Genomic DNA, 25558 nt, shown 5'->3' with positions numbered 1-25558 from the left:
GCCTCCCAAGTAGCTGGGATTACAGGCATGTGCCACTACTTAGTAGAGATGGGGTTTCTCCATTTTGGTCAGGCTGGTCTTGAACTGCAGACCTCAGGTGATCTGCCCGTCTCAGCCTCCCAAAGTGCTGGGATTACAGGTGTGAGCCACCGCACCTGGCCTAAACGTCTTTCTTATAAGTTACCCAGCTCAGGTATTTCTTTATAGCAATGCAAGAACAGCCCAACATAGATATATAGAAAAACAACATTGACATTATAAAGTAATTCCTTATCTCATAAAAGGGAAGCCTACTGATTACAACCACAGAGGTGAAGTTATTAATATCTGCTTTTCTTGTTTAATGATCCTTCATATTTTGTAAGTACTTACTGAGTATCCACAACTATATCTCCTCCTGTGCCTGAATACAGAGCTGACATTACGCTGGATGGCAGTATAGCAAAAATGTGAACTCCCTTCGGGTGTTACAGATTGACTAGATGATACAGAGTCCTGGTAGTATTCAAAGGGTTTCCCCACTAGCATATGCAAACCTTATCTGCATGTGGATTACATTCAAATGTGTCCAATGCACCATCTTCATTGTATCCTGTGACTGTAGATCATGGTGGTCATGGGCACTGATTCTAATGACAGACTGCCTGGGTTCAAATTCCAGCTCTACGGTTTACCAGATGTGGGGTTTGAGCAAGTTACTTAATCTCAACTTTTTCGTCTGCAAAGTGGGGTTTTGCAGATGCAAAAACTACCTACCTACCTACCTTTTTTTTTTTCTTAACCTACCTCAGAAGGTAAATATGAGTTATTAAGTGTGAAGTGCTTACAATATAATACCTCGCACACAGTAAGTGCTACGTGAGTGTTGGCCATATTGTTCTACTCCCCCAGAGGGAGCAATGCAAGAACAGGGTGGAGTCAAGAGGCTGTTGAGAGATGCATAGCGAGACTGCAGAGAAGACAATAAATGCATGTGACAAAAAATGTGGTAAAAAAAATGAAGAAGTTTTTATCATTTTTTAAGACAATGAAAATTAGGAATGAGTTCTTCAAAGCAATGAAAATCTCAACTGAAGCTGATGAGCTTTTCCCCATAACCTAAGTAGAAAAGAGAGTCTGAACCTGGTGTGAAAATGTACATATACATAGATAGATAATAGTGTTTTGTACTGAAAGACATTTTAATAGCTTAATTACCTTACACAGGTCATTTAAAAAATTTATGTTTATTTTTCCTCATCAGCTCAACAGAAGGTTTCTTCATATTTGAAGCTGAGGAGAGAGCTTAGAGATCTTTCACACAAGAAATAACCAATATAAATTTGATGCATGCATGAATGCATAGATTCAACTATACTCTTATTTAAAAGAAACAACCTTCTGGTATGTACTACATTCATTTTATTTCATTTCAACATGCACTTATGAAACAGCTGTACATCCCCAGGTGTCGGGTAAGATGGCGGGAAGACAAAGATGAGCTTGTCAAACTCTGTGACCTTACGGAATTCACAGTCCAAAGGAAAAGGTAAGACCTGCAGTACATTAATCCTTGTGCACTAACCAGGACAAAGTACAGGATTGCTAGAGATAGGGCTTTTGTTAAAAGACACAGCCCAAACTGAATCAAAATTCAGTAGTTTAATTTTCCTCATGGTAGAGTGCAGAGGGCTGGGACAAGGGCCAGAGGAACAGGATGCAGAGAAGCCCCACTAGGTGGGCACTCCCTGAGCTTGAAGCAGGTTAAATGAATTCTCTCAGCAGGCCCCCTACGCCCACTCAGTGACCACTGTACTTACCACTGTCTGCAGTTCACAGTGGAGAAATTGGCAGCTCAGAAAGGGAAAAATCTCTTGGCCCCGGCCAAGTAGCTAGTGACAGGCAGATCCAGTTTCCACTTGTTTCTAGCTTACCCCAGAGCCCTTGACATCATCCCACAGTGTCACATCCATGCAGGGCAAAATCCTTTCCAGCCACACCAGGTCATCTGGACAGCCAGGCTCCAATGGGTTTGAGCTAAGTCTTAAAGCTGTCACCTGACCAATCATTCAGCGAGAAATATTCAGGGGGAGGAATGGAAGATGATCAAAGGCTGGAAACCGACAACTGTGTCCCAATAAATGCTTATTTGTATTCAACTCTTCTTTATTTTTATTTCTATTTTTTTAGAGACAGGGTTTCTCTCTGTTGCCCAAGATGGAGTGCAGTGGCATGAGAGTAGCTCACTATGGCCTTGAACTCCTGGGCTCAAGCAATCCTCCCATGTCAGCCTCCCAAACAGCTAGGACTATAGGCATGCTCCACCATGCCTGGCTAATTTTTTAAAAAAGCTTTTTTAAGAGATGGGGTGTTCCTTTATTGCCCAGGCTGGTCTCAAACTCCTAGGCTCAAGTAATCCTCCTGTCTCAGGCTCCCAATGTGTTGGGTTTATAGGCGTGAACCACCATGCCTGGCCCTCAGTGGTTTTCGTAAACACATGTGAGCAAAGAGGTAAAACCCAGCCACCCAATTTCAATAATACACAATTCTTGGTTAAAAAGTAGATAGGATGTTTGAGTTGTGCAAATGTCAACTCAAAAAAATACTAAGGCGATGTCTTAGTATTTTTGTCTTGATACTTACAAGTTAGGCTTAAGTGAAATATTCACTATTTTTTTTTAACAGGAAGTGAAGAAATCAATGAGTTAGTGGCAGTTTTTCCTGCCAAAACATAGTCATTCTGAATAGAAGGAGAGAATTCCTGTTTTCTGGGTTGAACACACGCTCAGTGCCAGGAGGGTGAAATCTAACCTTCCTTTCAATCTCTTGCCCTACTGTTTTTCCTAAGTTATATTTATTTATTTATTGTTTTCAGTGCATACCAAAGTAATTCAGAAAGCCAACCATCTTAATAAAGAGACGAAATACAACCTAATACAACCATCCTAAATAGTTTTAATAAAGAAATGTTTATCAGAGTAATAACTTATTTATAATAATAAAAATCATAAGCATACAAAGTGGAGCTATGATGGAGGTACAGAGAATAATGAAAATACCTAGGCAAAATTGAAGTGTGTGTCTTCGTAACACTAAATCACATAGACATTTATACTGCTAATGTGATAATAATCGCTATTCATTTGATTCATCTATTAGAACGTGAAGGTGGTAAAAAATTTCTTTCCAGAGTTAGAATAACTTTGGTTGGCTATCTTCATCAATTTAATCACCTGGTTAATTGATCAGATCTTCATTTCACACAGGGCTGTTGATCAGATCTTCATTTCACATAGGGCTGGTGGAAGGTGAAGGAAGAACAAAGGCATGTCTTACATGGCAGCAGGCAAGAGAGCTTGTGCAGGGGAACTGCCCTTTATAAAACCATCAGATCTTGTGAGACTTATTCACTATCATGAGAACGGCACAAGAAAAACCGGCCCCCATAATTCAATTACGTCCCACGGGGTCCCTCGCATGGCACATGGAGATTATGGGAGCTATAATTCAAGATGAGATTTGGGCAGGGACACAGCCAAACCATATCAGAGCTTTTTATCCAATGAAGCCAGGTTAGTGGGAGTTGGAAAGAGGCACTTCTGTCCACAACACAGCATTGCTAGAGCTGTCTGATACCTAAAGGAGTGAGACAAGGCCAATGTTGACTTAGATTTCTTTAACATCCTTCTTCCTAGGACCTTAGGAGTGCAAACCAACTCATATAAATTAAATTAGATTCTCCCAGTATTTAAGCTTTGCTTTAAGAATACTACAAGGCACATTCAGACTTTTAAGGTACCCCAGTGACCAGAACAGTGGCAAACACACAGCTGGCATTGAGTAAATAGTGGCCGAATACACAGATGAATGAATGAATGAATTTATAAGCATTTAAAACCACAGCATTAAATATTTATTAGAAATACAAAAGCACTTAGCATACTTTTTCTGAAGTTTTTGTTAAACAGAGAAACTGAATTCATTAGATCCATTATGTTTAAAAAATCCTAGTGTAATATAAAGAAATAAATAGATTCATTCTTTTCATTTTTCAAACTTCCCACAGTGACTGGCCAGAGTAATTCCAGAGTAAACAGAAACAGAACTGAGACTCCTGCCCATGAGGACAGATTTCACAGTCTACTTCTGCATGGTTCATTAATTTATAATTTGTGAAATTAGCAAGAGAAGAGCCTAAAGAAAATACAAAAAGAAAATGAATGATTTATTTGATCTACCTTTTGGGTTCCCAACTCTCTCTCTATTATTGATTCTTGATTATCTAAGTTAAAATGAGCAAGGAATAAACAAATCCCAGGTAATATTATATTCATTTTAGTCAACTAATTAAACTACTCATCAACCATTTGTCAGAGCTGCAATGCAAGGAAAAGCTACTCATCAACCTTTTATTAATTTAATTGTTAAATTGACTCTTTGAGTTTCATCTCTCTACTCTTAGAACAATGTGGCCCAGAAAGGCCAGAGAATAACAAAATAGAAAAGCAAAATGTCCAAATAGTCTACACACTGGATAATTGTCCTGTTAATAATTAAAGTTTAGGGGAGCTCTAGAGTTGGTATAAGAACACCTCTGCGGTAGGATGAAAAGTGGCCTCCAAAAAATATCTACATCCTAATCCTTGGAACCTGTGAATGTTACCTGATGTGGTAAGAAAAAGGGGGCTTTGCAGATGTGATTAAGGATCTTGAGATCACGAGATGGTCCCGGGCTATGCAGGTGGCTCTAAGTGCAATAACCTGTATCCTCATAAGAGGGAAGCAGAAAGAAATCTGACACAAGAAAAGAAGGAAATGTGAAGATGGAGCAGAGAGAGACTCGATAATGCTGATCTGGATGATGGGAGAGATGCAGCCACAAGCCAAGGAATACCAGAGCCACCAAAAGCTGAAAGATGCCAGGAATGGATCCTGCCTTAGAGCCTCTGGATGGAGCGTAGCCCTGCAAACACCCTGATTTTGGCCCAGTGATACTGATTTTGGACTTCTGGAGTCCAAAATTGTGAGAAAATAAATTTCTGTTGTTTTAAGCCACTAAGTTTGCAGTAATGTTACAACAAATTTATTTCTATCCATAGGAAACTAATACAATGTCTATTTAGAATTATAGTTGATGTGTGTGTGTGTGTGTGTGTGTGTGTGTGTGTGTATTCTAGTTGGTGTGTGCTTTCGTAGAGAAGAAGGGGATCTTATAGACTGGCTTTAAATCATAATGATAATGAAGACTTATCCAACTTATTGTTCCTCCTGACTCTCAACTACAGCAACCTTTGGAAATGTGGTTTCAAGGGACCATAGTCTTCTACATCTGATACCTTTTCTATTGGGTAAATTACCCTATGAAGGTCACACAGCAAATTAGAACATTTTGCAGTGATAATAAGCGCCACTTTCTCCATCACCTAAAGCTAAAAGGGAAATAACATCCAAAATGAGAAACTCTTCTGTGACTTTGAGATCCTTATTTATTTATTGATGTGTGCTCTAAGGAGTGTGTGTGTGTACATCTGTGTGTGTGTTGAGACATGGTTGGAAATGCCATATTCACAAGGAGCCATAGACTGCTTTCCACATAGAGTCAGCCCTGGGTAGCATGCTTGGAAGGCTCGGAGAACATTCATTTCTTGTCACTCAACGAAAATTCATCAGTGTTTTCTCCAATCATACAATTTGCCTGAGTGCCACAGGGGATGAAAAGATGTAAAGCATATTTATTGGCCTCAAGGTATATATGATACAGTTGGGTTGAAAATTCATCCAAATAAAAGGGGAAGTAACAGCAAAATACAGCCATATGAGAAAAGCTATAAGTCATGTGGCTAATTTCTTTCCTGAGATACTGTTACCTCGAGCTTTCTTTCCTGTATTTCCACTCTTCCAACCGTTTCAAACAAACAGCTGGGCTGTTCCTATTCCTTGCACTGCAGAGCTGACAGCATTCCTGCAGTTTACAAAAACCTAAGCTCATTGCACATATTATTGTTTGGACTGAGTGTTTGTGTCTCCCTGAAATTCTTGTGTTGAATCTGTAACCCCATATGAAGATATTTAGAAGGGGAGCCTTTGGCAGATAAGTAGGTTTAGATGTGGTCCTGAGAATGGGATCCTTATGATGGTATTAGTGCCCTGAGAAGAAGAGGAAGAGAGCTCTGTTTGCCACCCAGGTCAGGCCAGGTGAGCACAGAGCGAGAAGGTGGTTGTCTCCAAGCCAGGACGAAGGCCCTTGCAAAGAACTGAATAAGCCAGCACCTTGATCTTGGACTTTCTAGCTTCCAAAACTGTGAGAAAGAGATGTCTATTCTTGAAGCCACCCAGTCTATGGGACTCTGTTATAGCAGCCTAGATGGACTTTTACAACCATAGCAATCCCTGAGGTGGGAAGAAGATAAAAGCATTGTCTTAGAAATTAGAAGAGGGGAGAGGCGGTGATTTTCCCCAAGTGGAGAAGAGATAGAAGTCCTGGGAGTGGCTGCCTCTTGGGTAAAGTCCCAGGCAGTCCCAGGCTGCATGTTGGGTCTAGAGAGGCTGAACTGCAGCCTGGGATGCCAGCCAAGGCAAAGATGCCTTTTCCTCACTCTCCATCTGAAAGGAGCAAGTGTTCATGTGATCTCCCAGGCTTTGGCTCTGAAGACCTCAGTGCTGACTGTGGTGGATTGGAGCATAGAGGCTTCTGCCCCTTTTTTCTGTGGTCCCTACAAGCACTCTATACTCCCAGGGACAGAGAGTATGGCTCTCTGTAAGCCGTCATGGCAGAGATGGGACTTCCACCTGCTTGGTGACATAGAAGCTCAGAGTCTAGGTTAAGTTGATTCAAGCAGAGTAAAGAATGGTGATACTTGGCACACTTTGGTTTAGGGATGCAGGTCTCTACCTGCATCAACAGTCCATCCCACTAGACGCTCCATGATCCAGCTTCCTTCCTTTCCCCAGTGTTCTGCAATCCCACCCCAGATCCAGCAGCTTGGATCTAACCACAGATCAAACTTCTTCCCCAGATCGAATACACCTTTCAAGACTCAGCTAGAATCCCCTCTCCTTAAGAAGGCTTCCTAGATGCTCTCAGTCACAATGAATCTCTTCTTTCTGTACACTCAACATTTTATATTTCTATTTTGCATTTACCACTACTTGCCTCATATGGTATAAATGTCCGACGTTTGCCCTTCAGTAGATTATGAATTCTGGGGCCTGGAGAGGTTCTCCGTTGGATTTGTCCTTTGGCCCTCTCTTCACATTTGATCCCATGAACTTCTCACTCCTCACAGCCTACCCCAGCACCCAGGATGGTGTCTTAACCTTAGAGCGTTTTCAGTACAAATGTTCCTCTACTTAACTATGTCCTGATAAACCCATCTGAAGCTGAAATCATTGTAGGTCGAAAATGCATTTAGTACACCTAACCAACTGAACATCATAGCTTAGCCCAGCCTCCCTGAAATGTGCTCAGGACACTTACATTAGCCTAAAGCTGGGCAAAATCATGGGCAACACAGCCTGCTGTAGAGTATCAGGTGTTTACCCTCATGATTGAGTGACTGATTGGGAGCTGCCACCGCCTAGCTATATGAGACAGTGTCGTACCGCCTGGGAAAAGATCAAAATTCAAAATTCAAAGTACAGCTTCTACTGAATGCATATTGTTTTTGCACCATCATAAAGTTGAAAAGTTGTTAAGTCAATACTGTCTGTGTTTGTTAAATTTCATCCAATTGCGGGGTGTAGTCAATCAGAGGAGGCAGAGAAAGAACTGAAATGAAGTAATCACAGCACACTTCTTGGGGAAGGTAGACCTTAATTTGGATCCCCAAAAAGAGGTTTGTTTTTCTAAACCATGGGTAATACTTTGCAAACAGGGTAGCGCTCTAAAGGCCTGAGAAAGATAGGGGAATTACCAATAACCTTCCTTACTGAAAAGGAATGATTCATCATAGAAAAATATCTGACTGAACAAGTTTTTTTCATACATAAAAGTCATTAACTTGGGCTTCATTAATCCAGAGTTTAAAGTATTACTAATAATAATATCCAACATTTGAATAGTGCTTCTCTGTCAACAGAGCAGTAAGCAAAATACTCATATACATTAATCCTATTTCATCCTAACACCATCTTTTGAGGTATCTTGCAATCCCAATCTGAGGAAGAAATAAAATCAGGGAGGGTAAATAATTTGATTTCTACTCAGGTCTTCTTTTCATTTTTTCCCACCACTAAACCACATTGATTGAAAAAAATCATCAAATTAGAGTTAAAAATGATTTAGTTACAGACCCATTGTCTTCCTCTAAACCTTGACTATAAAGTGGTAAATCAACCTTTGAAATCAACCTTTGCTGGGCAAATTAAAAGTGTAAAAAAGATTAAACGGAAAATTTTACAATCACTGAAATGAACAAACTGGAGAGTTTTGCTATAGAAGCAGGATTGTTATGGAATAAAAATAAATCAGGATTGTTGGTGAGCTGATAATAAACCAGTGGCATTAGTGTAATAATAACAAACCCGTGTAATGGAGAATGTTAATTAGTCAGTGAACTGTGATCATTACACTTCTTCCTTGTTTATTTGCTAAAGAAAATCCTCAAAAGACCTTTATCTGACACTGCTTGATTGGCCTAATTTGAATTTTCTATATACTTGAAAGCAATAAAATTGTATTTCTTTAAAGTGGAGTCCAAAACTCAAACTTTTTATTGCTTTACTCTGGTCTCATCCCCAGTTAGTTAAACAAAATAGTGACACTTGATTATATTCCTTTGTTTGACTTTGCTCTGAGACAGCAGTATACAGGCACCTGACTTTATCAGGAAAAGTCTAAATCCTTGACTTTCATAGAAAAATAAAGACTCTCTGCCCCATGCAACAGAATTGAACTATGTAATCACTTTTTTTTTTCTAAAGAAATTTCAAGGGCCAAGAACATCACATGCCATGAATTATAAAAGAGCCAAATCTTGGTTTTATAAGATTTCAGGACAAAGCACAGAAGGGCAAAGAGTATTGTAAAAGCTGAAATAAAAGCCGAAATAAAAGCCTTGATTATGTGAAAGGGCTTTTTATGGAGGGGGATATTTTGGCTTTTAGAAATCTGTCTTTTCTGAGCGTTTTTGTGAAGCATAAAAATGAAATACAATTCCTTGTGTGAACTTAGAGAAGGTAATTGAGCAGAAATGCTGACTCTCTTTAGCATTTGGTCCTCTGGTATATGCTGGGTCCCTCCCTGACATCAGATGGCTATGCCAGCCTTAAAGAGCAGTTATTAAAATCCAATTTTCTTGGAAGGCTTGATTTCTATGATTATTATTATCATCCCTTTGCATGCTTTGCACACTGTGGACTTCTTGGGATAACTTTTCTTGAAAAGAGATTTAAGTGTATTCATCTTGCCTCGGGAAATGGTGAAGCTAGGTCATAACTGCTACCACTTCTGTAGGAGGAAATATTCTTTTTTTAAAAAAAAATTTGGATTCAGAGGGTACATGTGCAAGTTTGTTACATGAGCTTATTGTGTAATGCTGAAGTTTGGGGTGTGACTGACCCTGTCACTCAAGTAAGGAGCATAGTACCTAATAGGTAGTTTTGCAATCCCTGCTCCCCTCCCCACCTCCCTTCCTTTGGAGTCCCCAGTGTATACTGTTTCCATCTTTATGCCCATGTGTACCCAATGTTTAGCTCCCTTATAAGTGAGAGCATGTGTTATTTGGTTTTCTGTTTCTGTGTTTAATTCACTTAGGATAGAGACCTCCAGTTGCATCCACATTGCTGCAAAGGACATGATTTCATTCTTTTGTATGGCTGAGTAGTATTCCATGCTGTATATGTACCGCAATTTCTTTATCCAGTCCACTGTTGATAGGCACCTAGGTTGATCCCATGACTTTGCCATTGTGACTAGTGCTGTGAGGAACATGCATGTGCATGTGTGTTTTGGTAGAATGATTTATTTTCCTTTGGGTATATACCCATTAATGAGATTGATTGCTGGGTCGAATGGTAATTCTATGTTTAGTTCTATGAGAAATCTGCAAACTTCTTTCCATAGGGCCTGAACTAATTTACAATCTGCAGGAGGAAATACTCTTGCCTCTCCTTTTATATAAGGGAGAAAAGAGAAAATATAAAAATCTCCTTACCTGTTGCCTGGAGAGTTTGACCTGCAGTTTGCAAAGATTTTTGCAATCATGGTAACAGACTTTGCATGAGCAAAGGTGAAGACCAAGATATAGCTGAATAATTGCCTTGCCAACCTTGCATCAACAAAAATATGTCCAGAGTCTCTCCCGTGGAGTGTTTTATCAGTCTGGGCAGCACTGAAATTCCCAGAACACAGAGGCAGAAGCTAGTGTAGGAGACCTTAGTCTGTGCTGTATGACTGTCTAGTGCCCATCATTGACTCCCCAGAAAGCATCCTGCCACCCCTGAATCCTCAAGTCCATCCATTCAGCGTCCTTGCAGTATACCCTGTCCTTTGGGTCTCCCACTTCCTGATCTCCAGTAGAAGATAAAATGCCCCAGACAGTATGCCATCTCTTCTAGACCCTTCTAGATACATACTTCCCACACTTTAATGTGCTTTCAGATCCTCTAGGTAATACTAAACTAAAATACTTACTAAACTATAATACTTACTAAAATCCAGATTCTAATGGACCAGGTCTGGGCTGGGGCCTGAAATTCTGCATTTCTAACAAGGTCTCAGGTGTGATGCTGGTGCCGTTGGTCCCTGGAGCTCACTTTGAGGAGCGAGTTTCTAGACAAGCTGACCCTTGTTGTTCACTTCCTCCCTTTGCAATTATTAAACAAATTATTCTAAATTTAGATAGTTTGGTTTCCTTTTTCAGAGCTTAGTGTCCCATGAGCACATGCAGTGGAATTGATGAAATCTGGTTAGTCTTGAATCTCAGTCTCTTCATCTGTAAAATGGGCAGTAGTTGTCACTGTGCACAGAATAAGGGAGAAGAAAAACTCAGAAAGTGCTTGTGAATATAAACTGTCAAGTGCTTTGTAGATATCAGTTAATTGGTAATATCTCCTAGAGGGGAACGTCTAATACCAGGACTTCGTTTGTGTCCCCCACAAGGGAGGAGAAGTTGGTAATATTATTGTGTGTATTTGGGCTTCATTGGGCTGTATTTTACTAATGGGTGAGATTAGTGTGACTCAAAGACAGATGCACAAACGCTATCTTCTTACTCTGTGTTTCTTGTCTTAGACCCAGGCAAGAACTGACTCCTGGGGGGCAACCCAGCCCTGTCCATTCATTCCATTTATGTTGTCTGTCCTCCTTGCAAGTAGCAGTGAGTAATTTTCTCTGCAGAACTGGCTTGTTCTGTTGAGCTTTCTCTCTGTACTTCTCATCTGAGTATGCTTTGCCCAGAATTTAAAATCTAGAGGGACTTAGAAGAGCCGTTGAAGCACAGATACCCATTTTCTCGGAGTCTTGTCTTAGGCTCAAGCTCTTCTGAATCGATTAATAAAGGAACACTTAGTTTCTGGGTCCCCAGCCATAATAACAATAGTAACAAAACGATAGCCATAATTTAAACCCCAGACTTGCTCATCTGTTTTGTGGCATTGAAGAGCACTCTAGGTATCCATAGCATAGACCTTTGATGGAGACTTTTTTTCTTTTTTTTTTTGAGATGGAGTCTCGCTTTTGTCGCCCAGCCCAGGCTGGAGTACGGTGGCACGATCTTGGCTCACTGCAACCTCCTCCTCCTGGGTTCAAGCAATTCTCTTGCCTCAGCCTCCTGAGTAGCTGGGATTACAGGTGCCCGCCTTCACGCCTGGCAAATTTTTGTATTTTTAGTAGAGACAGGGTTTCACCATGTTGGCCAGGCTGGTCTTGAACCCCCGAACTCAGGTGATCTGCCCACCTTGGCCTCTCAAAGTGCTGGGATTACAGGCGTGAGCCACCGCGCCTGGCTGGAGATATTTTTCATATTTGTAAAGAGACACTACTAATTCCAGCACTGATTGGAAAAATGTGACAACCATCACTTTATTTGGATGTGAACAATCTATCTAAATCTCTAGTGGCACCTCTTCCTCTAGGTGGACATTGCAGTTGATTCCCCAACTCCATCCCCTTTCTCAACCATTGCAGAAGAGCAATAAGTTGTGCAAAAGAGATCTGTTTCAGAGTAGATGCTGATCAGGTTAAATCAGTCATGTTAATCCTGTACCCCCGATGTGTGGCTGCATCAGGGACCCAGACCTGAGTGGTCAGATAATGATTAAGAAAGGGGCAGGTGACCTGATTCGGCTCAATTTGGCTGAAAGGAAGAACTCCTGGCAGCTTCTTTCTCTCCAAACACAGATAGGGAATCCTGTAGCTTCATTTCCTCGAAGAAGTCACCCTGAAATCTAGAAGATAATCAGGATGAAGTCAACATTCTGGAGGGCAGAGTGAGAAATGAAGAAACACCAGGCCTTGATGGTATCATGGGATTTCTCTGTTGACCAGCTCTGAAGTTACTTTGAGTTTTCTGTTACCTGCAGCTGAAAACACACTAAGGGACAGATTTCCTGCATCGGTAGATTTCCAGTCTTTCGATTCTATGAAAATCTATTTATTCTTTTATTTAACAAAGACTTTTAGATCATCTGTTGTGTACATGGTTCCATACTAAGTATTAAGGATACAACAAAGCAGACACAATTCTTGAGCAGATATTCTATAATAGGCAGAAGCATGTCAGCTATGATTGAATTGTTGTGATTAAGCAGATAGGCCTTAAATTGAGGGATGCTGGGTGTACAGCTGACCCTTGAACAACATGGGAGTTAGGGGCGCCCCCAGATGGAATTTCACTCACAGTTGGCATCCATGTATAACTTTTATTCCCCCAAAACTTAACTACTAATAACCTACTATTGACCAGAAGCCTTGCCTATTATATATGTGTCAATCAACATATATTTTGTATGTTATATGTATTATATACTTTATTCTTACAACAAAGTAAGCTGGAGAAAAAAATGTTATTAAAAAAATTATAAGGAAGGGAAGCTATATTTACTATTCATTAGGTGGAAGTGGATTATCATAAGGGTCTTCATTCTCATGGTCTTCACCTTGAGGAGGCTGAAGAGGAGGAGGGGTTGGTCTTGTTGTCTCAGAGTAGCAGAGGCAGAAGGGGTGGAGGAGGTGGAACGGGAAGCAGGAGGGACAGGTACATGGTGTAACTTTGATTGAAAAAATTTCACATATAAGTGGGCCACTGCAATTCAAGCCCATGTTGCTCAAGGGTCAACTGTGTTTGGCTCTAGAAATATAAGATTGAGAGTAATTTATTTTCCTCCCAATGGTGTTTAGGAAAGTTTTACCCACCATAGCATCAGTCAGTCCCCATTTCTTTCCAGCTTTTGCAGTAGAGGGAAAAGGCAGAGGCTGGTGGAAAATCCATTGAAGTTCCAGCCTATGTAGGCAGTCCCCCAACCCCTGTTGTCCCATCATCCTGTGTCCCCTGAGTCATATTTTGGTCCTAAATTCAGCAATAGGATTTAAATAGAATTAATCAATGGCCATTAGGCCTTTGTCACATGAACACATTGATTTTCATTTCACATGGGTGTTCTTTAATTCCTAACAAGAAAATGTCTTAAGCAGGGAATGTATAGTTTTAAGGGGTCATTTGAAGATAGAAGAGACATGCTTTGAACGTCTACGTCTAACAAGCTTCATAAACATAAAGGATGTTTCTTTTCACTAGCACTTGTTAATAATTCTTTATCATGCCATATGTGGGAGACATTTGAAATCATAACCACTGAAAAGACATAGATTCAGGCACACAGCTACATATACTGCAATTACAATGTGAATATTAAATACTAAATATTCACATTAAACACAAAAATATGCAGTGTAGTAAGGAAAGGCTTATGACTAACTTATTTTTCTGATGTCATGAAACATAGAAAATAATCTCTCTCTAGTAACAATGAGGTGAGCCCTTCCTGAACCCAGAGGGCTACACTGACTTTGTTAACTGTCAGTATCTGAGTCCCTGAGCCAATAAGAGCTTTATTATCTCACTCGACTTTCCTTAACTTTCCACAGCTTTTGGGCAAGAAATGAGGCCAACAAAGCTTCCTGCAACACATATCTTCAGTTCTAAAAATTCTGATTCTAGAATTACTGTTTTAGTGACTTAAATTTTTGCTTCTAAGAGATTTCATAAAGAGATAAATTTTATCTGTTTCAAAACATTTTCATATCGTATCTTTCCTTATACTTGGGATCTGTGGAACATGAAAAACATACACATACACACACACACACACACACACACACACACACACACACACACACTCTTTTGTCAGCCATACGGTATCGTTCAGCGTAGGATATTTGCCTTGTGTAGACACAGCTGGAATTACTCAACATCATTCCTTGCCACAAGTAAACAAAAATATATATAAGATTATGAATTATAAAAATATCTTTGACTCACAGCTGAATTCACATCACTGTTGACTAGAGCCTGGCAATCCTATATGACTGTAAAAGAAATAAGACGTTGTAATGCCAAGTAGTTATTCTTAATGTGAGCACAGGCCTTCCTCTCTCCTCTAATCTTGAGTTAATACACCTACATTTCTATGTCCCAGTTTTTTACATATAATATAGCATCAGGAATATTTATGACCAGAATGAAGGTTTTGACAGAGATTTTGATTTTCAGCATCAAGATTTTGGTTTTCGGGCCATGATGAACTCATTAATCTTTTAAAAATATACCATTTTTTTTAAGTTCACTTGCTTACATGGCTAGAAGATTCTGGGGAGAATGTCCTTTGTTCTCATACATGAATGAATAGTGTGAGGCAAAAAGAATGAGAATGAGTGACAAGAAAGGAACAGAGAATATGTTCTCTTCTGTGACTGGTGAACTCAGTTTCTTCTCCGTCCTCAGCCTTCTAAAGCACCCTAAGCTACATGTGGAGGGTTGATGTAGAGTTTAAAGGTACCAGATGTTAGCTCAGAAAATAGGGCATGGTGACAAGGAAGGTGACGAGGAGGCTGGTGTGACACCCCTGGGGGTGGCAGTGACAAGAGTGAGCTCCCTGCTCCTGTATCTTCACCTACTGATCAAGCATCCTTGGCTAAGTCACACACATTCTGTGTTTCCGTACCAATTGCTTTGCTTTTAAATTTAAAAGCACCTTGATGTTGTAAGACAACACTTATAAAAGGGGATGTGAACAGGGAGAAAAGAGTTTCCATGCTTTCCATCCCCAGTGAGATAGAGAGCCCTGTCTCTGATCCAGGGAGGAAGATGAGAGTTGGAAACATCAAGAAAACTTAGACATGGGTCTTCTCGTCCTGCCAGGGCAAATCTGAGAGGGAAAGCAAAGGTCCTAGCAGCCTCCTCAGTGTGAAGTTTGGAGGATGTGAGAGAAGTCTCCTCTCCCACAGGCCCATTGAGACATCCTAGAGTCGCTTGTCCTAAGGATGGTGAAGACCAGGGTGAGTGATCACTGGCTGCCCTAGGACTCCTGTATCTCCCAAATGAGAGAGTGGTGACTGCTGCAAGTCTCAAAGTTCCCAAGGTCCTCAATGGGAGGAAGAAGTCAGCAGAGTGTGAGAGAGAGACAACAGCAGTGAGGGGCCCCTGGGCCTGCAGGGGTCTTAGAGTGGCAGCTGTCATCTGAGCAGATCCCCAGAACCAGGGAGCCCAGGGGAAGCAGTGTCAGCATCGGTAGATTTCCTAGGCCATCTTCTACAGCAGACGTTCTCCATCATGGGAGCTTCGGCAATTCTCAGTGCTGAGCCATGCTCTGGTCTCATCATTCAGAATCTCTGACCATGCTATGCAGGCATTACGGTTGACCCATGAACAACCTAAATTTGAACTGCATGGTTCCACTTATACACGGATTTTTTTCAACCAAGTAGATGGAAAATACAGTATTCCCGGGACGGAAAACTCGAGAATAGGAAGTTTTCATATATGCAGGTTCCTCAGGGCTGACTATGGAACCTGAGCATGCATGGATTTTGGTTATGTGGTGGTGGAGGGGCATTCTGGAACTGACCCCCCGCATATACCAAGGCATGACTGTACTATATTTTAAAGCTCCTTACCATGGACTCCCCAGATTTATATGTTGAAACCCTAATCCTGATGTGATGGTGTTTAGCCTTTGGGAGGTGATTAGACTATGAGAGTGGAGCCCTCAAGATGGGACTGGTGCCCTAATAAGAAAAGACCAGAGAAGCCAGGCGCAGTGGCTCACACCTGTAATCCCAGCACTTTGGGAGTTCAAGGCAGGCAGATCACTTGAGGTCAGGAGTTCAAGACCAGCCTGGCCAACATAGTGAAACCCTGTCTCTACTAAAAACACAAAAAGTTAGCTGGGTGTGGTGGCACACACCTGTAACCCTAGCTACTCAGGCAGCTGATGCAGGAGAATCGCTTGGACCGAGGAGGCGAGGCTGCTGTGAGCCATTATCACACCACTGCACTCCAGCCTGGGCGACAGAGTGAGAACCTAGAGACCCTGTCTCAAAAAAAAAAAAAAAAAAAAAAAAAAGGAAAGAAAGACCAAGAGCTAGCCAGCTCTCTTTCTGCCATGTGAAGATACGAGGAGAAGTCTGCAATGGAAGAGGGCCCTCACCAGAACCCCACCATGTGGGTGCCCCAATCTCGGACTTCCAGCCTCCAAAACTGTGGGAAATAAATTTCTGTTGTTTATAAGCCACTCAGTCTACAGTACTTTGTTATGGCACCCCGAGGGAAGACACCCCCATGTAATTGCAATGTGGAGTCAAGGTTGGGAACCACGGATCCAGTTTGTTCTGTGCACCCTTGCTACTTACCTAAAGTGTGGTGCTCAAAGACTGGCAGCATCAGCATCAGCATCACCTGGGCATGTGTTAGAAATGCAGAATTGCAGGTCCTACCCCAGAGCTTCTGTCTCAGAATTTACAGTTTAAAAAGATCGGAAGGAGCTCATGTGCGTGTTAAAGTTGAGAAGGCTGCTGCTCACCGGCTGGGCAAGAACCAGACGAGGTCAGGTGGACCTGTGGTAGTGAGCCCATCTCATGCTTAGATCAGGGATTTTCAGCCTTGCAGAATGTTCCACCCCAGACCTTTGAGATCAAAATATCTACACGGGGAGACTGGTCTTTGGTATTTTTCAAAAGCATCTTGGCTGATTTTAATAGGCAGCCAGGGTTGAAAACTACTGACTTAGGTACAAAGCTGACAACTCCACACTTTGTGGGGACAAAGGCTGGGGAACAAGCAAGAGGGAAATTTCAACCTGAAAGTGACTGAGTTGCAAGTCTGAATTGACCCAGAATTCACTCACTCAAATGGACTGAGTTCCCATGGACGCAACTGAATTAAGTATCTCCAGCAGACAGAATACAGCTTGGAGACAGAACATTGCCTCGAGTTTTTCAAAGATAAAGACACATTTTTGCATGCCTGAGTCTGACTACGAAGTCACTCCATATATAAAATACTGTGATAATGCCTGGCACATAGTACTCTATCAATAAATGGTTATTATATTTAAGCAGAGAATGACATGACTCTAATATATATGTCCACTATATTTTGTTTGGATTTTAAAATCTGAAGATTGATATCTTGCAACAATTTTGGAACCTCTATCTCTTTAAACATCTCCTCTCTCTCTCATTCTCTCTATTCTATTAATAAACTGCAGCTGGGTGTATACGAGCTCTGTTCTTTCTAGTCTCTGAGACCCTTATTAATTGTTTACATTTTTTCATTTCTTTGTCACTCCATGTTGCATTTTGAGTAATTTCTTCAAATCAGTTTTCCAGTTCACTAATTTCTTTTCTTTCTTCTTTTTTTTTTGTGCTGGGGAGAGGGGATGGAGTCTCGCTCTGTTGCCCAGGCTGGAGTGCAGTGGCGCAATCTTGGCTCACTGCAACCTCCACTGCCCAGGTTCAAGAGATTCTCCTGCCTCAGCCTCCCAAGTAGCTGGGACCACAGGCGTCTGCCACCATGCTGGCTAATTTTTGTATTTTTAGTACAGACGGGGTTTCACCATGTTGGCCAGGCTGGTCTTGAACTCCTGACCTCAGGTGATCCGCCTGCCTTGGCCTCCCAAAGTGCTGGGATTACAGGCATGAGCCACCACACTAATTTCTTTTTTGAACTGGGTCTAATCCACCATTAGTGAGTCCTTCAGGCTTTACATGTTAATTTATATTTCATAAATAAACATATATTTATATTTATATTATTTATAAATATATATTTAATTATATATTTATAAATATATTTATACTTATTTATATATAAATATTTATTTATAAATATATTTATAATTTATATATAAATATTTATTTATAAATATATTTATATTTTATAAATAAATAGATATGGGGCATATAAATATATCGTTATATTTTATAAATAACATGAATATTTCCTTCCTTTCCCTAGCTCTATTTGTTTTACTGTCTCTTATTCATGCTTTGATCACTTTTCTATTTTCAAATAGTTAAATCATGCTTAATTTTTAGTCTATGCCCGTATCTAAATCTAAAATTATCCAAAATCTAAAATTATCCTGAGTTTGATTTTGCTATGTGTTGTTTCTGCTGGCTCTTGCATGTGGTGGCTTATTTCTTTGTTGGGTGTGTGTGTGTATGTTTGTGTGTGTGTGACTATAAGTTCATGTTTTATTAGTAATTTTTTTTTGAGGATTGATAGATAATTCCTTCTGGTTCATTCAGCAAGTATTTGTGTTGGCTTCTTCTAGGCTACTGGGGGGTATTACCAACCCATGATGCTTTAAAATAATTAGCTTGAAGTTTGTAGGACAATTCATGTAGGGTGAATTTGGGCAGCAAATCTGCAAGAGTTAGCTTTCGATTTTAATTGGAGCAGAATTTTCCTCCCTTTCACCCAAACCCGTGCTGGAAGCAGCATTTTTCCTCGCGGTTTCCATCTGTAAGGCAGGTTTATTTCTGAAAGGCCCTTACAATGAGAATAGTCCTGTGGCATCCCGGCTTTATTAGGGTCTCTTATAAGTATGCCACCTTGGGTGGGCAGGTGTCTTTGCTTTTCTGTCCCTGTATCCCCATGCCTCTGTCAAAACCGAACCTTCAAGTTGCTGGGGCTTGGCCCTGCTGCCAGGGTGAGAGCCAGCTTGGCTGCTTGCTGACATCTCTGCATTCCTTTTTTCACTTTATGTTTGGCTTCTCTGGATTTCTTACTTTATTGCCAGCTCAGTGATGCACTTTCAGTGATTTTTCAAAAGCTTATCCAGCATTTCGAGTTATTTCAGAAGGCAGGTTGTCCAGAGTAGCTTATCCACAATGTTTCCAGAAATGGAAGACCTCAGTAGTTTCTATTCTAGTGAGAGGTGACAGCGTGCTGGCAGTCCTCACAGCCCTCGCTCGCTCTCGGCGCCTCCTCTGCCTGGGCTCCCACTTTGGTAGCACCTGAGAAGCTCTTCAGCCCACCACCGCACTGTGGGAGCCCCTTTCTGGGCAGGCCAAGGCCGGAGCCGGCTCCCTCAGCTTGCAGGGAGGTGTGAAGGGAAAGGCGCGAGCGGGAACGGGGGCTGCGCGCGGCGATTGCGGGCCCGCTGGAGTTCCGGGTGGGCGTGGGCTTGGCGGGCCCCGCACTCTGAGGAGCCAGCCGGCAACCCGGGCCAGCGGCTGCGGAGGGTGTACTGGGTCCCCCAGCAGTGCCGGCCCACCGGCGCTGCGCTCGGTTTCTCACCGCTTAGATTTCTCACCGGGCCTTAGCTGCCCTCCGGCGGGGCAGGGCTCGGGACCTGCAGGTCGCCATGCCTGAGCCTCCCACCCGCTCCGTGGGCTCCTGTGCGGCCCGAGCCTCCCCCACGAGCGCCATCCCCTACTCCACAGCGCCCAGTCCAATCGACCACCCAAGGGCTGAGGAGTGTAAGTGCATGGCGCGGGAGTGGCAGGCAGCTCCACCTGCAGCCCCTGTGCGGCATCTACTGGGTGAAACCAGCTGGGCTCCTGAGTCTGGTGGGAACGTGGAGAACCTTTATGTTTAGCTCAGGGATTGTAAATACACCAATAGGCACTCTGTATCTAGCTCAAGGTTTGTAAACACACCAATCAGCACCCTGTGTCTAGCTCAGGGTTTGTGAATGCACCAATCGACACTCTGTATCTAGCTACTCTGGTGGGGACTTGGAGAACCTTTGTGTCCACACTCTGTATCTAGCTAATCTGGTGGGGACGTGGAGAACCTCTGTGTCTAGCTCAGGGATTGTAAACGCACCAATCAGCGCCCTGTCAAAACAGACCACTGGGCTCTACCAATCAGCAGGATGTGGGTGGGGCCCGATAAGAGAATAAAAGCAGGCTGCCTGAGCCAGCAGTGGCAACGCAGTTCGGTCTCCTTGTGCAGTGTGGAGGTGGCAACACACTTGGGTCCCTCTGTGCACTGTGGGGGTTGCAATGCACTTGGGTCACTCTGTGCATTGTGGGGGTTTTATTCTTTTGCTGTTTGTAGTGAATTCTGCTGCTGTTAACTGTTTGGGTTCACACTGTCTTTATAAACTGTGTAACATTCATTGCAAAGGTCTGCGGCTTCACTCCTGAAGCAAGTAAGACCACGAACCCACCGGGAAGAACAAACAACTCCAGACGCTCCGTCTTAAGAACCGTAACCCTCACTGCGAGGGTCTGCAACTTCGTTCTTGAAGTCAGTGAAATCAAGAACCCACCAATTCTAGACACTAGGAAATTCTTTGTGGGCTTTCAAGGCTCAGGAAGGGAATTTGCACAATGAAAATAACTTAAGAACTGTGAAACTTAACCAGTTTTTTAAACTTATACCCTGTTACCATTATTTATTTGAAGTGTTGTTTTAAAGAAAACAAAAAATTTGTGAAGTTCTTTGCTTTCTAGGGAATGTTGGTCAAATTTCTGCAAAAACAGCAGAAATGTCTCTGAGCTAGAGGACCAACTGAAAGCAGAAGCGATAATCCTGTCTTCATGCTGATTTAGATGTTGACAGAAAGCTGAGTGTGAAATTCTGCAGCACATCACGAAGATGAAAAATCATTTAAGTTTGCTGAACCCTAATAATGAAAACTTGGAAAACCACCCAATAGAGGACAGTGATACTACTCACCAAAAATAATTGCTCCAATTTTATCAAGCTGCTGTCATGCCAATTTATATATTTTTAATTCCCTTAGTTTCTTAGGCCCAAACATGACAATTTAAAGACTTTCCATCTCAATTGTACAGACAACCATAGAGAGGTCTGTGATTGTATATGAAATGGTTCATGATTTTACATCACGAGATTAGAACTATATGTTCTTCAAATAGGATGAAACGTGTTCTAGACCTATTATGTAACATGCTACAGTTATATGCATAAAATAAATGAATCATTCTACTTCAAAGCTTTCTCTTTCTGACTAATGTTACTATGGAAGTTTTTCAACGACAGAAGTTTTGACAAGAGTTGTTACTGCAGGTTTAATTTTCTTTCATAGTTTTAAAAATCATTATTTATAGAAAATAAAGAGATAAATTTACCTTATTTAACCTGATTTGACAAACACTAACTGGACTGGCCTTTGTAAAATGGACAATAGGGCCAGAGGTGGTGGCTGACACCTGTAATCCCAGCAATTTGGGAGGCCGAGGTGGGAGGATTCCTTAAGTTCAGGAGTTTGATACCACCCTGGGCAACATGGTGAAACCTCATCTCCACAAACAATGCAAAAAATTAGCCAGACATAGTGGCATATGCCTGCAGTCCCAGCACTTGGAAGGCTGAGGTGGGAGGATGGCTTGAGCTTAGGAGGCAGAGATTGCAGTAAGCTAAGATGGCACCACTGCACTCCAGCCTGGGTGACACAGTGAGACTCTGTCTCAAAAAATAAAATAAATAAAATAAAATAAAATATAAAAATAAAATGGACAAGAGGCAGCCACAAAGAAGGCAGGGCATAACTAGTTAAAAATAACAAGCCCAGCCCCAAGGTGCTCACCTAACAAGGCTGAACTTAGCCCAGATACACCTTGACCCTGGCACAGCCCTGTTCTCTTTGCCTTCTCTTGGTATCAGTGGTGGCATGTTCTGTGTTGGCTCATCCTCTGCTTTGTGCCTCTGGCAGTGGTTCCCCATCATGAAGCCTTGACACCTAGCATCCAAGGTGTTCCTTCCCTGCACCCACCTTTCTCAGGGAAACAGTTGACATGGACTATGAAAATAGAAGGAAAACATTCTATCTAGCTGACCTGTAAAATTGTCTAATTTCCTTTAATGTTCTGGATTTCTAAACATTCTTATCTGATTTTATGATAAGATTCAATCCACCAAATACTCTGTGAAAGATTTTTCAACCGGTAAGAATGAAGGGCAAGTTCCATTTTGACTTTGTAAGGAATAGGCAAAAGCAATTTCTAATGTAAGTTTCCCTTTTGCGAAAGAAATGAGTCTTACTGAAGTCCTGTGCCCTGTTGCTCATATTTCTTCTTCATGTTTTGTGTGTGTATGTGTGTGTGTGTGTGTGTGTGTGTGTGTGTGTGTGGTAAAATACACATATCATAAAATGTGCCATTTTAACCATTTTCAAGTGTACAGTTCACTGGCATTATTTCAAAATTGTTCTGCAAGGCCGGGCACGGTGGCTCACACCTGTAATCCCAGCACTTTGGGAGGCTGAGGTGGGTGGATCACCTGAGGTCAGGAGTTCGAGACCAGCCTGGCCAATATGACGAAACCCCATCTCCACTAAAAATACAAAGAATTAGCCAGGCATGGTGGCAGGTGCCTGTAATCCCAGCTACTCAGGATGCTGAGGCAGGAGAATCGCTTGCACCTGGGAGGCGGAGGGTGCAGTGAGCTGAGATTGCACCACTGCACTCCAGCCTGGCTGACAGAGCAAGACTCAAAAAAAAAAAAAAAATTGTTCTGAAAGCATCACCACAATCCACCTCTAAATTACTCTTCATTATCTCAAACTCTGTACCTTTTAAACAAGGACTCCCATTTCCCCCCACCAACACCTCCTGGAAACCACTACTTTCTGTCCCTATGAATTTGATTATTCTAGGTATCTCATATGAGCAGAATCATACAGTATTTGCCCTTTTGTGACTGGCTTATTTCACAGAGCATAATGTCCTCAAGGTACATACTTGTTGTAGCATGCATCACACTTCCATTCCTTTTTGTAGCTGAATATATTATTCCATTGTGTGGATGTACCGTATTTTTGTTTATCTAGTCATCAGTTGAACACAGTTCATTGTTTCTATCTTTTGGCTTTGGTGTGTAATGGTGCTATGACCATGAGTATACAACTATCTATTGGGATGCTGCCTTCAATGCTTTTGAGTTTATACCTAGAAGTGGAATTTAATTTTTGAGGAACTGCCATCCTCTTTTCCACAGTGGCTGCTCCATTTTTCATTCCTACCAGCAATGAAAAAGGGCTCCAATTTCAGCCAGGCGCGGTGGTTCATGCCTGTAATCCCAGCACTTTGGGAGGCTGAGGTGGGTGGATCACGAGGTCAGGAGATCGAGACCAACCTGGCTAACCCGGTGAAGCCCCATCTCTACTAAAAATACAAAAAATTAGCCAGGTGTGGTGGCAGGCGCCTGTAGTCCCAGCTACTGGGGAGGCTGAGGCAGAAGAATGGTGTGAACCCGGGAGACGGAGCTTGCAGTCAGCCGAGATCGCACCACTGCACTCCAACCTGGGTGACAGAGCAAGACTCTGTCTCAAAAAAAAAAAAAAAAAAAAAAAAAAGGCTCCAGTTTCTCTACATCCTCACCAATTATTATCATCTTTTTTTTTATAGTCATCATCCTATGGGTATGAAATGGTATCTCACTGTGGTTTTCATTTGCAGTTCTCTGATGATTAGTGATATTGTCGCTCTCTATGTTTTCGGACTTGATGTGTTCTTATGTGTGTGTTTGTTATGGGAGAGACTATCTTGCTAGGGATGCCTTTGACTTGGGGAACAGGTAAAGCTCAACACTCTCCCATTTCTTTTCAGAAGGATTTAATGCACCTCAATTATCCTTGAACAGATTCGAGGAAGTGGCTAAGCTTGTGGCTACATCATCCACTTCCTTTCATTCCCAAAGAAAATGAAGTGCCAGCCATTTCCTTCCCTTTGTTCTTTCCCTTTGAGCACTGCCCTTAGGGTAGTCGTCCCCTAGGTTCAGCCAGCATGAAAGACGTTTGAGAAGGGCTGAGGACAGGTGGGCAATTAACCCCAGTGCTCAGCTCAAACAAACCCTGTGGCTGAGCATGGTGAATGAGGGTATTACTGCAGAGGGAAGGCACCTAATGTGTCACAGACAGTATCACGCAGGAGACCAAATGGCACAGCGGATTTATGACAAGAACAACTGCCTGCATGTGGACTGTGCTTAGGAAAGCAGATGAGTACGGCACAACGCTGGAGCTGGAGAAATCATTTGTTAGTGAAAAATGTGCAAACTGGTTAAAAATAGTTTCCATGACCAGGGAACTAGAATTCAGGTGGGAGCCTGACAGCTGCCACATGTCAGCCTTTTAGAGGCTGTTTTCAAAGACGTGTTGGAAAACAGAGACTCCATTCTCACGGCAAGTTAGCTTGAGAAGAAATTACTAGACAGAATCATTGTTTGTATTAACTTGAGGATGACTCTCACTAAGCAATCTGATGCTCTTTCCTATGGGCCTTAGCCAGACCTAGAATCTGCCTAAAAGGATACAAAGTTCACTAATTTAAAATAAAGAAGTGTGATCTAAATTACTCAATACCGTATTTAAAATAAGTGAAGTTTTAGCCAGTAATATACGCCGACGCAATTTTCCAATTTTTACCGTAATTAATACATTAAATGTGAGTGGCGCTGCTAAGGAGTGTTTTGCTTTCTTGGTAAGTTAAATAACCCATCTAAATCCTTATTCATATTTAATTTGCTAAGCAATCTGTTTCCTCATAGATGGTACAAAGGTAAAGTTTAGCTCAGTTCTTGTGTGCATTAGTGGGATTTAAACTATTAAGATTTTACTGCAGAGACGGAACCACTATGCCAGGTTGAAATTTCTATTGTGAACATCTAATTATCCCATACATCAGTTGCAGGAATATTGTCTTTGGAATGTCAAATTATACTCACTTCATGGTTTCTTTTACTTTTGTTCAGTAAAAGATTTAAAATTGACTCCATCATATTTAGGTTTTGGACTTATATTTTAAACACTCTATAAGTCGACAATTTGTCTGTGGCTCATCTTCTTTACATCAAAGTAGGAGGTTTCCCTAACAGCACACACAAGCCTCAAATGGTATGAATAGGAATTCAACATTTTTATGTGGCTTTTTTCCTCCCTCTCTTCCTCTTCCTTCCCTCCCTCCCTTCCTCTCCTCCCCTCCCTCCCTCCTTCCTTCTTTCCTTCCTTCCTTCCTTTCTTCCTTCCTTCCTTCTTTCATTCCCCTCCTCCTCCTCCTCCTCCTAGCCCTCCTTGCCTTCCTCCTCCTCTTCTGGTTGACTTGGTAATTTGGCACTCTCTCATAACAGCAGATCTTGTTTAGGATCTATTCTATAAAGGAGGT

The 25558-nt window shown here is 41.8% G+C and overlaps 3 annotated features.

Moving 5' to 3' along the window:
- Window positions 17012–17306: a silencer, noted in NCBI's record as "tiled region #5392; HepG2 Repressive non-DNase unmatched - State 21:Repr, and K562 Repressive DNase matched - State 10:DNaseD". NCBI's record gives its function as "represses a minimal TATA promoter and a strong SV40 promoter by Sharpr-MPRA in HepG2 and K562 cells {active_cell/tissue: HepG2 | K562}" and the evidence as "EXISTENCE:reporter gene assay evidence [ECO:0000049][PMID:27701403]".
- Window positions 23080–23820: an enhancer, noted in NCBI's record as "NANOG-H3K4me1 hESC enhancer chr6:16065515-16066255 (GRCh37/hg19 assembly coordinates)". NCBI's record gives its function as "activates a minimal SCP1, AML or CMV promoter by ChIP-STARR-seq in naive H9 embryonic stem cells {active_cell/tissue: H9 hESC(naive)}" and the evidence as "EXISTENCE:reporter gene assay evidence [ECO:0000049][PMID:30033119]".
- Window positions 23821–24562: an enhancer, noted in NCBI's record as "OCT4-NANOG-H3K4me1 hESC enhancer chr6:16064773-16065514 (GRCh37/hg19 assembly coordinates)". NCBI's record gives its function as "activates a minimal SCP1, AML or CMV promoter by ChIP-STARR-seq in naive and primed H9 embryonic stem cells {active_cell/tissue: H9 hESC(naive and primed)}" and the evidence as "EXISTENCE:reporter gene assay evidence [ECO:0000049][PMID:30033119]".

This window comes from Homo sapiens, chromosome 6 (genome assembly GCF_000001405.40).
Source record: "Homo sapiens chromosome 6, GRCh38.p14 Primary Assembly".
In the NCBI taxonomy this organism is placed as follows: domain Eukaryota; kingdom Metazoa; phylum Chordata; class Mammalia; order Primates; family Hominidae; genus Homo; species Homo sapiens.
The sequence above is the reverse complement of the archived record's forward strand: the minus strand, read 5'-3'. Positions and strand labels throughout refer to the sequence as shown.